The sequence below is a fragment of the Homo sapiens genome, chromosome 4, assembly GCF_000001405.40.
Source record: "Homo sapiens chromosome 4, GRCh38.p14 Primary Assembly".
Lineage (NCBI taxonomy): Eukaryota > Metazoa > Chordata > Mammalia > Primates > Hominidae > Homo > Homo sapiens.
The window spans coordinates 152,937,337-152,954,503 of record NC_000004.12 but is presented as its reverse complement, the minus strand read 5'-3'; the positions used below and the strand labels follow the sequence as shown (position 1 = coordinate 152,954,503).

General features: G+C 43.8%; 1 protein-coding gene across 6 annotated transcripts in view, besides 2 other annotated features; it reads right to left on the bottom strand.

The window, feature by feature from the left end:
* The window catches only part of FHDC1 (FH2 domain containing 1), a 68,333-nt gene that overhangs the window by 25,168 nt on the left and 25,998 nt on the right, over positions 1 to 17,167 (bottom strand). For 3 of the 6 annotated variants that reach the window (XM_047416336.1, XM_011532389.2, NM_001371116.1), the window contains 3 exons: positions 10,949 to 11,576; positions 944 to 1,005; positions 185 to 287 (listed from right to left, as the gene is read on the bottom strand). In XM_047416336.1, the coding sequence (XP_047272292.1) occupies positions 185 to 287; positions 944 to 1,005; positions 10,949 to 11,446 (663 nt within the window). In that variant the 5' untranslated portion in view covers positions 11,447 to 11,576. Of the gene's footprint in view, positions 1 to 184; positions 288 to 943; positions 1,006 to 10,948; positions 11,577 to 11,981; positions 16,295 to 16,618; positions 16,702 to 17,167 lie in introns of those variants that run through there. The other 3 variants (NM_033393.3, XM_047416335.1, XM_047416337.1) reach the window with 3 other exon arrangements.
* Positions 4,293 to 4,587: an enhancer, noted in NCBI's record as "tiled region #8192; K562 Activating non-DNase unmatched - State 20:ReprD". NCBI's record gives its function as "activates a minimal TATA promoter and a strong SV40 promoter by Sharpr-MPRA in K562 cells {active_cell/tissue: K562}" and the evidence as "EXISTENCE:reporter gene assay evidence [ECO:0000049][PMID:27701403]".
* Positions 16,544 to 16,803: a silencer, noted in NCBI's record as "silent region_15754". NCBI's record gives its function as "represses an Ori minimal core promoter by ATAC-STARR-seq in GM12878 lymphoblastoid cells {active_cell/tissue: GM12878}" and the evidence as "EXISTENCE:reporter gene assay evidence [ECO:0000049][PMID:35858748]".

Below are 17,167 nucleotides of genomic sequence, written 5' to 3'. Positions count from 1 at the left end.
TGTTGGCCAGACTGGTCTCAAACTCCTGACCTCAGGTGATTCATCTGCCTCTGCCTCCCAAAGTGCTGGGATTACAGGTGTGAGCCACTGCTCCTGGCCTTCCATGTGAGCTTTGACACACTTAAAAATATTAAGCTTTTATGATCACTCCTAACATCTACAACTCATGCGCTGAATTTCTTACCTCTTCTGACTCTGGCAAAAACTTAAGAAATTCTCGCAAGGTCTCTGATCCATAATGCTCACTTTTTCCTTGATGAATATCTTCTACAATGGACCGAGGAGACCTTGAAAAGACAATGAATCACATTCCATTTCACGTTTGCTGGAGTGCCAACAGAGGTGCAAGCCAGTGGAAATTAAATCTCCTCCACCCTCCTTCCCACCCACCTCCTTCCCAGACTGGCTGGCAGTTTTGTGTGAGTGCTCATAACAGCCCCACTGCCTCAAAACAGGGAACCCAACACTCCACTCAAGGGCCCTTCACCCAGAGCACCATCCTTGGGCATCCCAAAAAGGCTGAAAGCAGCAACAACCACTGGGAGTCTCTTTTGTTGTGAGAAAAATAATCCTCTTTGGTCTCACTGAAACCCCTGCACAACCTTCTCCTTATACTTCAGAACACAAAACTCTGACCGCTATTTGACTCATCAGTCCAACCTCCACTGAAGGGGCAACACTAAAGGTGACTCTGAAGGTGTCCCTGATGGGACAGGCTTGAATGGATGCCCTGGGGCAATTCTCCATATACTTCAAGCCACTATGTTATGTTTCCCTGAAGAAAAACAGCAGAAAGTGACAGTCACTTGCAGGCTCATCAAGCCATGCGTCTAAGAAGGATTTGAAGGTGTGAGGAATTTGAATTCCAGCTCAGTCACACCCACAGACTTTGATGCTGACAGCAGGGATATGACTAAAGTTTCAAATGTGTGCAAAATCTTACTTCTTAAATTGCTTAAGAAATATCCCAATGTTCATGCTCCGTTTTGCATCCAAAATAGTAATCTGGAAAAAAAAATAAGGACACATAGGATTACTAAATTCAAATAAAAAGAGATGGAGAAAGAAGATAATTAAAACCGATCAAAATGCAACACTAATTTATCAGAGAATAATTCCCAATGTATAAATCTGGTGATTAACAGATATTCCTAACATAGTTTTACAAATATTAAAAGATTATCATCTCCCCAAACTTTCTACAGTGGTATTATATTTCCTTAAATGTAATAATAACACATACCTACTTTAATATTATATAACTTTTAATATACAGATGGTCCCGACCTATGATGGTTCAACTTATGATTTTTCAAGTTTACTATGAGTTTAGTGGGATATGAAATGCATTTTCTTTCTTTTTTTTTTTGGAGACAGAGTCTCGCTCCGTTGCCCAGGCTGGAGTGCAGTGGCACCATCTTGGCTCACTGCAACCTCTGCCTACCGGGTTCAAGTGATTCTCCTGCCTCAGCCTCCCGAGGGCAGCTGGGACTACAGGCATGCACCACTATGCCCGGCTAAATTTTGTATGTTTTGTAGAGATGGAGTTTCACCATGTTGTCCAGGCTGGTCTTGAACTGTTGACCTCAAGTGATCCACCTGCCTCGGCCTCTCAAAGTGCTGGGATTACAGCCATGAGTCACTGTGCCCAGCCACATTTTCAACTTAGAATATTTTTGACTTAACAAATGGGTTTTTAGGATGCAGCCCCATCGTAAGTTGAGAAGTATCTGTAAAGTCAGTCATCCTTTAGTATCACAGGGGATTAGTTCCAGGACCCCTGGGGATACCAAAATCTAACGATGCTCAAGTCTTACATAAAATTGCATAGTATTTTGCATATAATCTATGCACAACCTCCTGCATACTTTAAACCATCTCTAGATTACTTGTAATACCTAAGACAATGTAAATTATGTTATGTAAGGGGTTGTTATACTGTATTTTTAAATTTGTATTATTTTTTATTGTTGTATTGTTATTTTCTACTTTTTTCTGAATATTTTTGATTCATGGTTGGTTGAATTTGAGGATGCAAAATCTGCAGTCATGGAGGGAGGACTGTAAATATACACTTTAAATGTTTTAAATTTAGCAATTTCCTCTTAGAATAATATCACCCACATTTAAAAGCCCCAATTTAGAAATGGATGTCTTGGCCTAACAAGAATCGCGTGAGATTTGAACTGAGAAAATAAAAAACAACTCTGAAGATAAGGCAGATTGAGTCCCAACCCTGATTTATGGACGTAAAAGAACCAATAAAGTCATATTTCGGAAACATCATTAAATTTTTTTCTAAAAGAAAAATTTCATTTCATTCAAAAAGTTTACATATGTCCAACAGACCTTTTAGGAGGGTGTAAGGTAGTGTCCTACATTTTGTTTACTCACAATTTTAAAACGAAAAATCTTGTGCTGTATACATTTCACCAAGGATAAGATACTTTTTTGTTTGTTTGTTTGTTTGTTTTTGCATTTTTCTGATCTCTGGAATCAGGATGTGCCTTACAATACATGGCATCTTTTTATTTAATGAAATATGGGATAGCTATTCTGTCAAAACCCAGATTGAGCTGTAGCAGGTTTTCACTGATCAAAATTTCAGGTGGCTTTATCAGACTAGAAATGAGAACTTTTTTTGGCTGTTAAATACAGAAGCCATTTCTGTCTCTGGATGTAAACATCCCGGCTGCGTGGAGGAAAGATAACCTGAAAACTGCTGCAGTTTTTTCCCGTTTGTTTTTTGGTAACGGGAGACTAGCTAAAATAGGAATGTTGTTATAATGCTCTTCCTTTCCAAATGTATGTGATTCACTGTGAACAAAAGAGAATCAGGTTTCAGGCTAAATTCCTGATCTCTGGGTCTGCTTCTGAGTTGATAACCAGCAGCGAGACTGTTAACCAACGTTAATGTCACTTCCTGGCTATAAGGTTAAATTTTTACAAGAGTATGGTTGCCTTCTTTTGAAGACTAATCTTTAACAGTCACATTATTTACTAACCTAGGGGTTTATTTCATGTTAACACAATCACCTGCCAGCCATAAGGTAAAAACTCCCAAGCTGAAAGGGCGGCCTCCTTATTGGAATCCTATCTGGGGACTGCAGTTCAAGTTCAGTGTAAAGGGAGGAGAGGAGAGAAAGAAAGGGTGAGAATAAAACCTGTCAAACTCAACACCCTTTAAAAGGTCATACCAAAAAAGGAATCTCGATTTATTAAGACAGAAAACTGGGTTCATTAGAATTAATAAATTAAAAGGCCATGCATAAGAATCTGTATGTTGATATAGTTACACAGCACGTTCAAAGAACTTCCTCTGCATTCACCTAGGATGGATAAATGACTTGTTTCGTATTCCTTTCATGAAAGTGCCACCTTCTGCTACATTCAACCCTTGACTGCAGTGCTCTCCCACACCCCACGTGAACCAAGCCCCACGCTCATCCTGTTCACCCCTCAACCCTCTGGGACTCTCTTCACTCAGCCTAGATCCGGAGACATTGCTGCAGGAAAAGTGAAGGAGAAAATTACTCTTATGATCTCTACTGGACAGGTAAGGAAACTAAGCCTCATAGACATCATTTTATAACTTTCCCAGAGCAGTGTTGAACTGATAGGTTAGCCTGGTTCTCTCTGACTCCTTTTCACTCTAGTTTCTGTGGGTTTTCACATTACTGAGCTTCCTATAGAGACGTAGCAAACGTTCCCTACCAGCATGGTGCTTGCATTGTGAGTTTTCTCCAGGAATGGGGACAGATGTGTAAGAAGCTATACGTGTGCCTGGCCAAGTCCCCTGGTGACCCCAGAGCTGTATCTGAGAGATGACAGATGGGAATCATGTTCTCCCCAGGCAAGAGAGCCTCCAGGGGCCTGAGCCCTGGCCCTACAGGAGCAGCCCACGGTGCCCCAACACAGGGGCAGCCCAGCTGTAGAAGCAGGCGTCTCTACAGCTCAAGCTGTGTTTCAGAAACAAAGAGAATTGGGTGATATTCCTAAGGGAAAACCCGAGCTGGCTGTGACTGAGCACCTTACAGGAAAAACAGAGCCCAGCACTTCACCCAAACAACATTAAAATGAGACAACTGATATCATTCAGGGACAGTCCCACTCGCTCCCGGCATCCTCAGATTTGCCTGGTGTCTGAGGAGTCTCTTTCTCCACTTTATCGCATTCGATCCTTCCAAAGCAATGTTATAAGGGTGACTGTTGAAGTCCTTTAAAGAGGGTTATCACTGCACATGTAAATTAGCTTATCTCACTTCCCAAATGCTTGCTCTCTCAAAGCTGGGCCATTCAGAAACAAAGTCGGGTCGGGTTGGGTGGTGTTTTGGAATCATTCAGAGCAGTGGAATCTGCACATGGGATCCCAGTGGGACTCACTGGCTGCACAAGCTGACAAATCAGAGGCAAGAAACTGCCCAAAGAAGAGGGATAAACAAACCCAGCCAATGAGTGAGCTGCATCATCCCCTCCCTCCCACCAGCTCCGATCAACCGGTAATTACTCCTCTGGTCACACCAGGACATGCAGGCAGGACCGCCACAGAAGTCGGTGCCACGGGTACAGTCAGCATACTGCAGAGTTCGTTACCTCTTCCCCCAAAATTCCTACCAAAGAGTGGCAAACAAGGCAGCTTGAAATATAAGGTAATGAGGTAATTAACGCACTCAACTCATTTCAACATTTCAAGGATTTCCTGCTAGGATGCGAAGGGGGCCTGGGCTCTACTCACAGTTTCCCCGCAACTGCCAGGGGGCCAGGGTTGTGCTGATACCCACTGAAACAGTCAGCAGCACTATGCCACTCAGTGAGACATGTGGCTACACCATCACTCTTGCTAAAACCTCCAAATCAGCTCTTCTAGTTTATTCTACTACAACTTTTGTAGTTTCAATTCACTTCATCAATCCACTACAAAATCTGCCTCCCATATCCTTTGAAGGAAGAAGAAACTTTTTTTCAGTTGTGGTAAAATACAAATAACAATTGCCATCATAACTTTTTATTTATTTATTTTTTTAGAGACAGGGTCTTGCTCTGTCACCTAGGCTGGAGTGCGGTGGTGTGATCATAGCTCACTGCAGCCTCAAACTCCTGGGCTCAAGCAATCCTTCTGCATCAGCCTCCTGAGTAGCTAGGACTAGGGATGCATGCTGTCACACCTGGATAATTTTTAAGACATTTTTTTGTGGAGATGAGGTCTCACTATGTTGCCCAGGCTAGTGTTGAATTCCTGGCCGCAAGCTATCCTCCTGTCTTGGCCTCCAGAAGTGCTGAGATTACAGGTTTCAGCCACCATGCCTGGTCCATAACCATTTTCTTCTTCTGCTTCTTCTTCTTCTTCTTCTTCTTCTTCTTCTTCTTCTTCTTCTTCTTATTATTATTATTATTATTATTATTATTATTATTACTGAGACAAGGTTTTGCTCTGTTGCCCAGGCTGGAGTGCAGTGGCACTATCTCAGCTCACTGCAACCTCCAGCTCCTGGGCTCAAGCAATCCTCCTGCATCAGCCTCCCGAGTAACGGGGACTACAGGCACGAGCCACCATGTCTGGCTAATTTTTAAGTTTTTTGTAGAGATGGGGGTCTCACTAAATTGCCCTGGCTCCATAACAATTTTTAAGAATACAGTTCAGTGGCATTAAGTACATCCACATTGTTGTATAACCATCACCACCATCCATCCCCAGAGCACTTCATCTTGCAAAACTGAAACTTTGTACCCATTAAACAATTAACTCTCAGCCCAGTGTGGTGGCTCACACCTGTAATCCCAGCACATTGGGAGGCTGAGGTGGGCAAATCACGTGAGGTCAGGAGTTCAAGACCAGCCTGGCAAACATGATGAAACCCCATCTCTACTAAAAAATACAAAAAAATTAGCTGGGCGTGGTGGTATGTGCATGTAGTCCCAGCTACTCAGGAGGCTGAGACAGAAGAACTGCTTGAACCAGGAGGTGGAGGTTGCAGTGAGCTGAGATCATGCCACTGCACTCCAGCCTGGGTGACAGAGGGAGACTCCATCTCAAAACAACAACAACAAAAAACAATTAACTCTCCATTCCCCTCTCTCATTTCCTGGCAACCACCATTCTACTTTCTGTCTCTATGAATCTGGCTACTTAAGTACTTCCTATGAGGGAATCATACAGTATTTGTCCTTTGCGACTGGCTTATTTAGCATAATGTCCTCAAGGTGAAGGAAGAAACTTTTAAACCACTTTTGTTTTTTATGTCAAAGGGGGCTTCTTTACCTACTTGAGTAACACTACATAGTGGCTATTTCCATCCCACTTCAAGTCCTGAAAAACAAAAATGTGAAGATCTTCCTCTATCCTCCAATATGGACCTAGCTTTCGGGTTTTGATGGTTTTTCATTTTCTTTTTCACTTTAGTTGGCTGTCAATTGGAAATTGTCCTCTCTCCCAACTTTGGGGAAAAAAAAATGAAAATCCAGTTGAAGCACATTTTTTCCCAAATGTATTTGAAATGCTCTATCTAGTTCTACAGTTCTGGACTGTGAGCATATCCCGAAATTCTGGAACATACCGGCATCATAACAAAAGGTGAGAATGACTGACAGCTGAATTATAGTGTGGGAGAATAAAGTATTTATTACTTGTCATAAATTTAGAAAAACCAATCTTCCTTCCATCCTTCCCTTCTCTCTCTCTCTCTCTCTCTCTCTTCTGTGGTCTTCTTTTTCTAATTAGCCACTTTACTTATTTCCTAGATGGTCAATGTTATATTGCTACAGACATCATAGTGAATGACCTGAGGTGTTTCAATATTTCTGCTTTCTTTGTGAGCCCCAATTTTGATCTGTTGATGCCTCATAAGCTGATCCCTTTGTGCTCTTGGTTCAGTTCTGTCCAGTTCAGTAACCTTTTGTTTCCTTTAGAGGATACCAAATGGCTAAGATACAGCCCTCCCCTTAAGAGCTGGTCAAACTGTAGAGGCAGACACGCACACCCTCAGCTAACACTGGTGGAAGGCTCCCAGGGGGCCTGAGGAATGTCAGTAATAGAGGGTCAGGAACTACAGAGCTTCTCAGGGGATGGGATCAGCCAACTCTGAGAAGAAGATGAGTTTGAGCTGAATCTCTCTCGTCTCATCCCCAGTAATATGTCTTTATTTCTAATTGCTTTATTACAGTTTAATTATTATTATACCATCATATCTACAGTCTCTTTGAGTTAATTTTTAGTTAACAAAGATACAAGGATAGTAACATTTCATATCTTCCCATACTAAATGTCTTTTTTTCTTTTTTTTTTTTTTTGAGACAGTCTTGCTCTGTTGCCCAAGCTAGAGTACAGTGGCGCGATCTCCACTCACTGCAACCTCCCCTGCCTGGGTTCAAGCGATTCTCATCCCTCAGCCTCCTGAGTAGCTGGGATTACAGGTGTGTAACATCATGCCCGGCTAATGTTTGTATTTTTAGTAGAGACGGGGTTTCACCATGTTGGCCAGGCTGGTCTCGAACTCCTGACCTCAAGTGATCTGCCTGCCTCGACCTCCCACAGTGCTGGGATTACAGGTGCGAGCCACCGTGCCTGGCCCTGTACTAAATGTTCTAACTCACTATTTAAGTGTTGTTCTTTCTAAGTTCAGCCATTCTCCAATCTTCCCTATCTTCCAGCAAATTTCTTCCTCACGAGTACAATGGAACTTATTAGTATAAGGCTTTAAAGTATAAGCCAATCACATAATGTCGGGCTGTTTCTGTAGGAGGTTATGATATTTCAAGGGTCATAATCTGTGCCTGGGCAAGTCTGAACCTCCAGAACTGCAGCCTGTGTTGTAATATGGTGATGCTGTGGCTCCGGGCTCAGGAGCAGTCCCTCTGCTGAACAGGCTGTGGAGGGAATTCTGCAGTCCACACAAACAGATGGTAGGACTATTACTTTTGACCCTGGACTCCGCTTACTGCAAAGTGAGTTGGAAGATTTATTACTGATCTTTGTTAGACAAGAACCCTGCTGAGTTCTAACTTCTTCAGAAGAAAATTGAAGGAAGAAAATAGCATGTACCATATTCTTTTACTGTAAAAAAGTATATATAATACTCCTAGCCACGCTACAGATAACATGAAAATTGAAAGTAATTCTGGATAATCTCTGTTATGTGACAGCATTACCTAATGCACTTAAAGGGATCATTCTCAACTATTTATCATACTTGAATACTGAAGAGTTGCAAAGTTAGATTATCTTATGATACACAGTCATGGTGATTTAATTTTTCTTTCTAGTATGTTGTCTCTCAGACTAGGGCCTACAAGTATTAAAAGCAAAGATTTTTGTACACCCATGTACACAGCGGCATTATTCACAAAAGCCAAAAGGTGGAAGCAACCCAGCTGTCCATCAACAGATGAGCGGATAAACAAATGTGGTCTATATATACAATGGAATAGTATTCAGCTTTAAAATTCTGACACATGCTACAACACGGATGAACCTTGAGGACATTACGCTAAGTGAAATAAACCAGTGACAAAAAAGACAAATATGATATGATTCCATCTACAGGAGGTACCTAAAGGAGTCCAACTTATAGAAACAGAAAGTAGAATGGTGCCTGCCAGGGGCTAGGGAAAGAGGGGAACAGACAGTTCTGATTTAACAGGTACAGAGTTTCAGTTCCGCAGCACGAAAAGTGTTCCGGAGAGGGAAGGTGGTGATGGTTGCACAACAATGTGGATGTACTTAATGTCAACAAGCTGTTTAAAAATGGTTAGGCCAGGCGCAGTGGTTCACACCTATAATCCCAGCACTTTGGGAGGCCGAGGTGGGCGGATAACTTGAGGTCAGGAGTTCGAGACCAGCCGGGCCAAAATGGTGAAACCCCATCTCTGCTAAAAATACAAAAATTAGCTGGGTGTTGTGGCACGCCCCTGTAATCCCAGCTACTCAGGAGGCTAAGGCATGAGAATGTCCTGAACCCAGAAGGTGGAGGTTGCAGTGAGCCAAGAGTGCACCACTGTACTCCAGCCTGGGTGACAGAATGAGACTCTGTCTCAAAAAAATAAATACTTTTTAAAAATGGTTAAGATGCTAAATTTTATATGTTATTTCACCACAATTAAAAATAATTTTTAAACCATTTAAAAACATAATTCTTAAAAAATAAGTTAATGACAAAAGTGTAAAAATCTGCATAGGGTGCAGGGGTGGAGGAAGGCAAGAGAAAGATTATTTTTTTCCCTGAATTTCAGATCTGGTTTAGAAATGGACATCTCTGCTTCTATCATAGTTGAGAAAAGATGCCACACCCCTGCCACTTTCCTCTCTCTCTCTCTGAGTGGTTCTTAACCTCTCTTTAATGTGGAAACATAAAGCAGCAAGTTCCCCTTAGCCTCTTGAAATTTTCCCAATTCACAAACGATGCCACCTACTCTAGCCTGACAGCTGCCTCCCCGGGACACGGTGAGCTAGCCCTCTTCTATTACAGGTGCTCTGCTGAGACACAGGCCTCATTTCCACATGGGTCCACCCAATAATTACTTCAGTATTCCTGAATTTCAGTAAAGAGAGCTGGCAGACAATAGTGAGAAATGACCTACTGTACAATAAAGAACCTCTGTTGGGAGCTGGGGCAAAGGCCAGGGTACTAAGGAAATGACTTCTTGCTCCTTCCAATATTGAAAGGATACTCCAGCAAATAAAAGGACTTTGCATAAAAGGAAGAGACAGGCAAGCCTGTGTTCAGCACTGACGGCACTAAGGGTTCTCATGAAGATTTCCTTCTCAAATTTATGCCATAGTTTACACTTCAAGAATTCTAACCCCAGTGTTTTCTGCATTTCATAAAAAACAGACTCTTGGCTATTTCAACAGGAGATCACACAATCAGCTTTAAGGGCCCCCCAGTGAATTAGTGGAGAGAAGGAGTTAAGAGAGAGAAAGAGAAAAGAGGTCAATATTGTTGGCTCAAGAATTCAATAATGCATGGAGCTGCTACTCCATCCCAGGGCCCTGCCTACTCTCTTATCTAATCAACTGCATCTTTGACCTGTTTTCTCTGCTCCTTTATGACAGATTTTTAAATGATGAATTTCTGTTGTCTTTCTCTGTTTTGTTGTTGTTGTTGTTGTTGTGCTTTGTGTGTGCATGTGGGCGGGGCAGCATTCTTTCCTTTTTATTTTTATTTATTTTTTCTAGCAGGTAGAGGTTTCTTCAAGTTTCTAAACTGACAATACTTATAAATGTAATTTTTGATGCAGTTTCTGTAATACATGGTGATCTGCAGCTCTGGGGTCATGCTTTCAGTTAACTTCCTGTAATTTAATAGCTTTATTTTTTCTCATAGTAACATATTTAGTGTTAACTAGAAACATCCTTCCTACACAATCTCTCTGAAAACAGCTTTATGCTTTGTCTCTTTGGAAGCCTCTGTTCCCCAATGGCCATAATCTAGTTCAGAGATCTGAGGAATGAAGGCCATCTAGAAACACTTGTTATATAAAAACTAGAGGAGAAAATAAGGGTAAAATCCTAAGGATGGACGTCAGCTGATGATGCTATTTAACAAAAGGTAGTCTGCCCCAGTCAGCTCTAGTTCATTCCAGACAACCAATTTTAGAAACTCAGTTTTTGTTTCAACAGAGACTAACAATCCGGACTTGAGCAGAATTCTCCAACAGGGGAACCTTCAGCAGATGTGCTAGAGATAGGGGCAGTGATCCCAAATAGCATGTTCTCTGCATGAGGTCATAATCCACCAGGGCGTCTGGGAGGATACAGCACGCATACTTCTTACGCTTTCTCAATACTCAGCTCAAGCTCATCGTAAAGACCCTGCCTAGCATTTCCAAGGCAGATTCGCTTGTATTATCTCATTTCTTAGGGGTGTCTAGCAATTATTTGAAATGTACACACATCCCAAAACACAAAACAATGCAGTGTGTGGAGGATTAGCCCTCCACCTTGCATTCTTACCTCTTCTCGAGCTTCTCTGAAGGATGAATTTAAAGTTCTTCCTCTCCTAGGAAGGGAAGACTTGGTGGTGTCTTCCTGCTGCCCAAAGAGCTCCTCAATGGTCTTTGTATCAATTTGGTAGTGATGTTCCTGCCTGGCTGCCAAGGTCCAGATGTTGGTTTTGCCTCGAACTTGCTCCTCCGGAATAGTTTTCCAAAAAAAGCTTCTCATCCGCTTTTTCTTACCAAGGTGGCTGTAGCCGTTCATGTGAGTAGTTGGGGGTAGGCCTGGTGGGGGAGGTGGGATGGGAGGCTCCCCAGGAAGTGGAGGTGGTGGGGGTGGAGGAGGGGAGGAAGGACACTCTTCCCTTGAACATGAACATGGTGGAGATGGAGGGGGTGGAGGAGGAGGTGGAGGAGGTGCTGGAGGAGGTGTCTGCCCAATCATGAATCCAGGTGCTGTGGCAATATTCCCATTTTCTTTATCACTGACCAAGGAGACACAATTCATAACATGCATAGTACTGTTGCCTCCTATGGAGATAATTTCTTGGCCTTGGAGAAGAAGACACAAACATCAAACTTGTGTAGCACTTTTTCACCTGCTGCTATCTGCCGCCAGAATAAAGGGCAACTGTCCTCTTCCAAACCTAGCAAGATAAAATAAATATCAAATCAGTTACAGACAAACAGTTTCGCATCAGCATTTCCCTTCAGAGGCTAGTATCAATCCTCCCATATGAGTTGGATATGAAAATCAATGAGGGGCAACACATCCCAAGTTGCATTACAAGGACCCAACGCTTTTCTAAATGTGAATCAAATTTTACCACCTGGAAATTCTGCCAGAGAAATTGCAACAAATCCAATTGGAAACCTTATATTAATCAACAAAGCACATTTATATTGAGAGCCTGCTAGAGGCTCAGTAAGTATTGCTCACTTTATGAATAAACTACTTGTTTACTAACTAGTTCGTTCTCTTTGGACAATGGTTGCCCAACCCCTAGGGAAACTGCCCAAACTGCTGGAGCATTAGGCATGAGTGACCCTACCTTTTTCCAGTCTGGACATGTCTCCTACCAATCAGTGGGTCAAAAAAGGCATCTTGCACCTTGGACGGATAAGACAGGGCATTTGGAGATGATATAATAATGGCCTAGCTCATTTCCCTGGAATCAGGGCCACCATATTTATGCTCTACTTGGTGATGTGGCTTTCCCCCAAATAGAGAAAAGAACAGCAGATATGAAAAATGAGATTCCAGCCCTAAATCAAGCTTTACTGCTTATAGTTTTAGACAAGTCACTTTGCCTCACCAGACTTCAGTTTTCTCATTTGTAAAATTAGGAGAACACATTAAATGACCTCTATCATCTTAGATTCTAGTTAAGCCACTCTTTGGAAACCATCACCTACCTCTTCTGCTTCTGACACTTTTAGCAAAGAAGAGATACGCCCAAGGACACGCTGCCCATGTCACATCTGCCACATGTCCCTTATACACAGTCACCAACTTACTTTAGTGGGTTGCATTTTTATGGAACTTCACGTTTGTTTTTCATGCTGGGCTGTTACCGATCTGATGTGAAAGAGAGGTCAAAACTACTAAATTTCTTCAGATACGAGAACAGGTAAGTGGGGTGTAGAAAGGACGCCATGCAGGCTATTGAGTGAGTACCCCAACTAGATGGGAGTGTGGAAAGGGGACTATTTCCTCCAGATCACAAAGGGCCATACACAATGGCTTTTTACACGGCACTTCGGGGTGTAATTTTCTTTTTACAGCACCACTGTCAAAGCCCATACTTACAAACACAAGTTGATGAAATAATTTTAGACTACACAGAAGTAAACAATCTGATCTCACAAATTCAAATATTACAAAATGATTTACACAGAACTACATCCAAAAGGCAGGGCTGCCTTGGGAATAAGAGTGGAGATTCTAGGAATAGACTGCTTTTTCTCAGAAAGTTCTGCTACTTTCAAGATGTGCAACATGAGCTGAGGTTGGTAACGTCACCTACATTTCAGCATCCTCATCTACAATATGAGGAAATACTTGTTCCATTGGTTTGTATAAAAATAAAGAGCTAACACATGTATGGTCCTTACCAAGATGCCTGGTACATAGTTAGCTATTATTTATAACAATAACAAGCTGTTATCATATGTGCATATAATTTCCCTTTATTTTCACAGGCATTACATTTGCTTTAAAATATGTATTGGGTTTATAGATAAAATGCCAAGTTACCCCTGGCTGCTAGGAACAAACTTGTAATATTTCCATTCTTTGCTATCAAAGTTTGTGAGAGCTGTCCTTTCTCAATGCTTGGTGATCATCTATTAAATTGTCTCCATATTACAAAAGCAAATATTTTAGTGAAACATTTGAATATTAGAGTTCTGAAAACTGCCTCTATATGGGAGGAAAATGGCATCTCCAGCTATTAATTGGATACTTTAAAAAATCATTTTCACCACTTTTAAGTGTGCAATTTAGTGGCATTAAGTACATTCACAGTGTTGTGCAGCCATCACCACCAAATAATTTTTAAATAAGTAAAATAGAAAATATTTTTCCAAGCTGACATACAGCTCACTTGAGATGTAACTGGCTTCTAGAAAGAGTTTTCATAATTATCATTAGGGGCATAACTAGGCTGTTTTCATAGTTGGCACCCTTAAAGCAAATGACTCATTGTCAATTACAGTTTATAGTTATATCTGAACTCTTCTTTTTCAAGACTGTGCAGGTAATTTTGGCAGTTTATCCTTACATATTTTAAAATACTTCTGTACATAAAATATCTCATGTATAGAAGAGCTGTTAATCCTCCAATTTACCTCCAATTCCAGATATGCTGACTTATTTATAGATTATCCCTGTTAAGAATGGTGATAAGCTCAAAAAGTCTCCAATCTAGAAAGCAGTAACTCATTCAGTGCTGTATATGGACAGATGCGCCACTAAACCTCACAATGCAAATACAGAGATACTGACAAAGACTAAGGAAGACTATATACTCCAAGGTTATGCAACCTCACTGTCTCCTAACAACAAAGCCAGAAAGGTGCGTGTTTTAGTACTGTGCTTTGCACAGAGGAAGTACCAGATAAACGACTGTCAAAGTAAAAAGTGACACTTGTTAGCTCTGCATTGGGATGATTCTAACCAATGCCCCATGTAAAAGAATGTTATTTTTAAAAGTTAAAGGAAACAAAAGAAAATGTACAACAGTGTCCCTGGTATGCTGTCTGATTAATTTCTTCCAAGGGTAACACACAAGGATCCTAGCCCCCCAACGGCTTCTAATGAATAGGTTCGCCAGCAATGATTAGCCAAGACGCTAATGCTTTTACTACCTTTACTCCAATAGGGTTTCCCCCTGGGCCAGGATGTCCAATGTGAAAGAGGTGGCAGGAAAAGTGGAGTACAGACAGAATTCTAACCCTTTCCACAGCCACATGGAAATTAAAATAGAGAATACACAAAAGAACGATGGATTTGCTGCAGTACTGCCCGCAGTAGAGATGCAAACACACACTCTCCAGGTACGCTAGGAGAACGCAGGTGATGCTGCAGCCCTAACAGACCACATTGGCTGCCTGTTTCTCACAGCTGACAACTGCCAGTAGGGACAATGGGATTAGCCCCCACTCTGTCTGGAAAATGCTAAGTAGTCCCATCAATCTGCCCCTGGGCAGACAGAGACAGGCCTGTATGTAAGATCTCAGCTACAGGTTGGAAACCTCAGCAACAGGATGAGGTAGCTGCTAAGGCTGACAAGTGCCCAGCTCTGAGTAAAATGCAGAGCTGTCATGGCTGGGCTCTGAAGATGGGAATGTCTCCTCAAGTCCCCTGAGTGCTACTCATGACCCATCAGAGTTGTGTTTGAGTGATGGACTCTCCCAAGGAGGCTGTAGCTCAGTTGAGCATCTTTCAACTATGTGAAATTTCAATAAGGCGATGCTGTGATCACGTACTTAACTTTTAGTTAATTGGCAGACAAAAAATCTTAGAACGTTCGTTAAGGGTCTTCAAAGCTGCCCCTGGCCCCCTCCTAAGCTCTCCTGCCTAAACAGCCCGCTGTACTTTTTCCTTGGTGTCAGAAACACCCCTAGAAGTTCTAGTCTCGGCCAGGCGCGGTGGCTCACGCCTGTAATCCCAGCACTTTGGGAAGCCGAGGTGGGCAGATCACGAGGTCAGGAGATCAAGACTATCCTGTCCAACATGGTGAAACCCGTCTCTACTAAAATACACACACACATAAACACACACTCAAACACACACACTGAAACACACACACTCAAACACACACACACAGTAGCTGGGCGTGGTGGCGCGCCTGTAGTCCCAGCTACTTGGGAGGCTGAGGCAGGAGAATCGCTTGAATCAGGGAGTCGGAGGTTGCAGTGAGCCGAGATTACGCCACAGCACTCCAGCGTGGCGACAGAGCCAGACTCCGTCGCAACAACAAAACAACAATAACCAAAAAAAAGACGTTCTAGTCTCTTGAAGGGAGCCAAGAAAAAAGAGTATATAGGCTTCATCTCACAGTGTATTTAAGGGGAGAGCATGTTCCTGGCCGTCAGTTTGGAGCTCAGGGCTTTCCTGAACGAGGACCAGTGGTCCTGGTGCTCAGAATGAGTGGTTCTGCACCAGTGGTCCTGGTGCTCAGAATGAGTGGTTCTGCACCAGCGGTCCTGGTGCTCAGAATGAGTGGTTCTGCACCAGTGGTTCTGGTGCTCAGAATGAGGGTCTTGGTGCTCAGCTGGTCACTCACTCCTTTGGTCAACAATAATCAAAAGGAACATCAAGGAAAACCTGCCAGAAAACCTTTCTCCTTGACTCCTGGCATGTGCCACAGAAGAGGTGGGGGCAGGAAGGGCTGGCCCACATGCTTCTGATGACAAACCAGGGTAGAACAAGCCGAGTTTGGAGAGCAGAGGTAGAGAAACACACAGCCCTATTTTATTGTATTTGGGAGAGAAGAAAAGGATGGGGAAAGTACGGACAATTCTAAACTATGGAATTTTTACTCCCACTCCACTAATTCGGGAAAAGGCTCCTCCACCACCACTTATCTTTCAAAAGCTTTCTTGATTATTAAACACAGAATGTCAGTCGGTACAATTACGCAGTCGGGCCAGAGCCGGACCGTCCAGCTCTTCTGTGAGTTCCGTCTGCCTGTGCTCCAGGCAGTAGTGAAAGAACCCAGGACAACGCGTTCCCAGTAAGCGCCTTCAATCTGCAGCACAATGTAAATATTCATAGGCGCCCGAGACCAACACCCGAGAGCAGAGGAAAAACGCCTGTATTTGAATGTTCATTTTCAGTTTCTCTCACTGTCCCAAAACCAAGAAAAAAAAAAAAAAAAGCACATGCGTGCCAAAGGATGCTCTAGAGAGAGGGAAGGGAGCGCCGGCTGCTCCTTCCAGGAAGACAACTGTGGGTCAGTTGAAGGGGGTCACAGACGGCCGAATCCCGGAGGTCGTTTCTGTCCACACGGAAGTTTGAAAACCGACCATTAAGTCCGGAAGAAATTCGGCCTGGGGGGTCCTGGGACACCACTTCTTTCAAGTTTGGATACGTAGTAGTTCACCAGCTCTCTGCGTTAGACAGCTGTCCGCAGCCTCCTTACATCCCCAACCCGGCACCCCGGTCCCCGCCCGAGCCACTCACCAACAAGCCACCGGCTCAGCCGCCACCGGCTGGGCCGCGAATCCCCGGGGAGCCGCGCTGGGGTCAGCAAACTGAACGCGAGTGGGCGGCCCACGGGCCGCGCGGAGCCCCAGCTGCGTCCTTATCAGCGCCGGGCAGAAGGGCGTCGCGGCGCGAGGGTGGGGCGCCGGTGCGCGCTGAGATCGACGCCCACACGCGCCGCGCCAGCTCTGCGGCGGGGAGAGAAGCCGCGGCCTGCGGGGCGGGGACTGCGGGGCGGGCGCCCAGCGCGGGCGTTGCACGACCCTCGGCCTTCCGCAGCGCCGACCGCTCTCCCGTCCGGCGGCTGCAGCTGCTGGGTCGGCCGCCGCACCCGCTCGCCCATTCCCGGCCCCTCCAGTTGGAGGGGGTCTCGGCCCCGCCCCCCTCCCCGAGGGGCCCACGCTGGAAAGCCCACGCTCCCCACGCCACGCCCCCCAGGGCGCCAGCCCCTCTGCGGGGGTTTAGCACGCTGCGCCCAGAAGTTGGGTGGGAGACGGCTAACTAGGGGAGGTGTCCGTGTGAATGAAA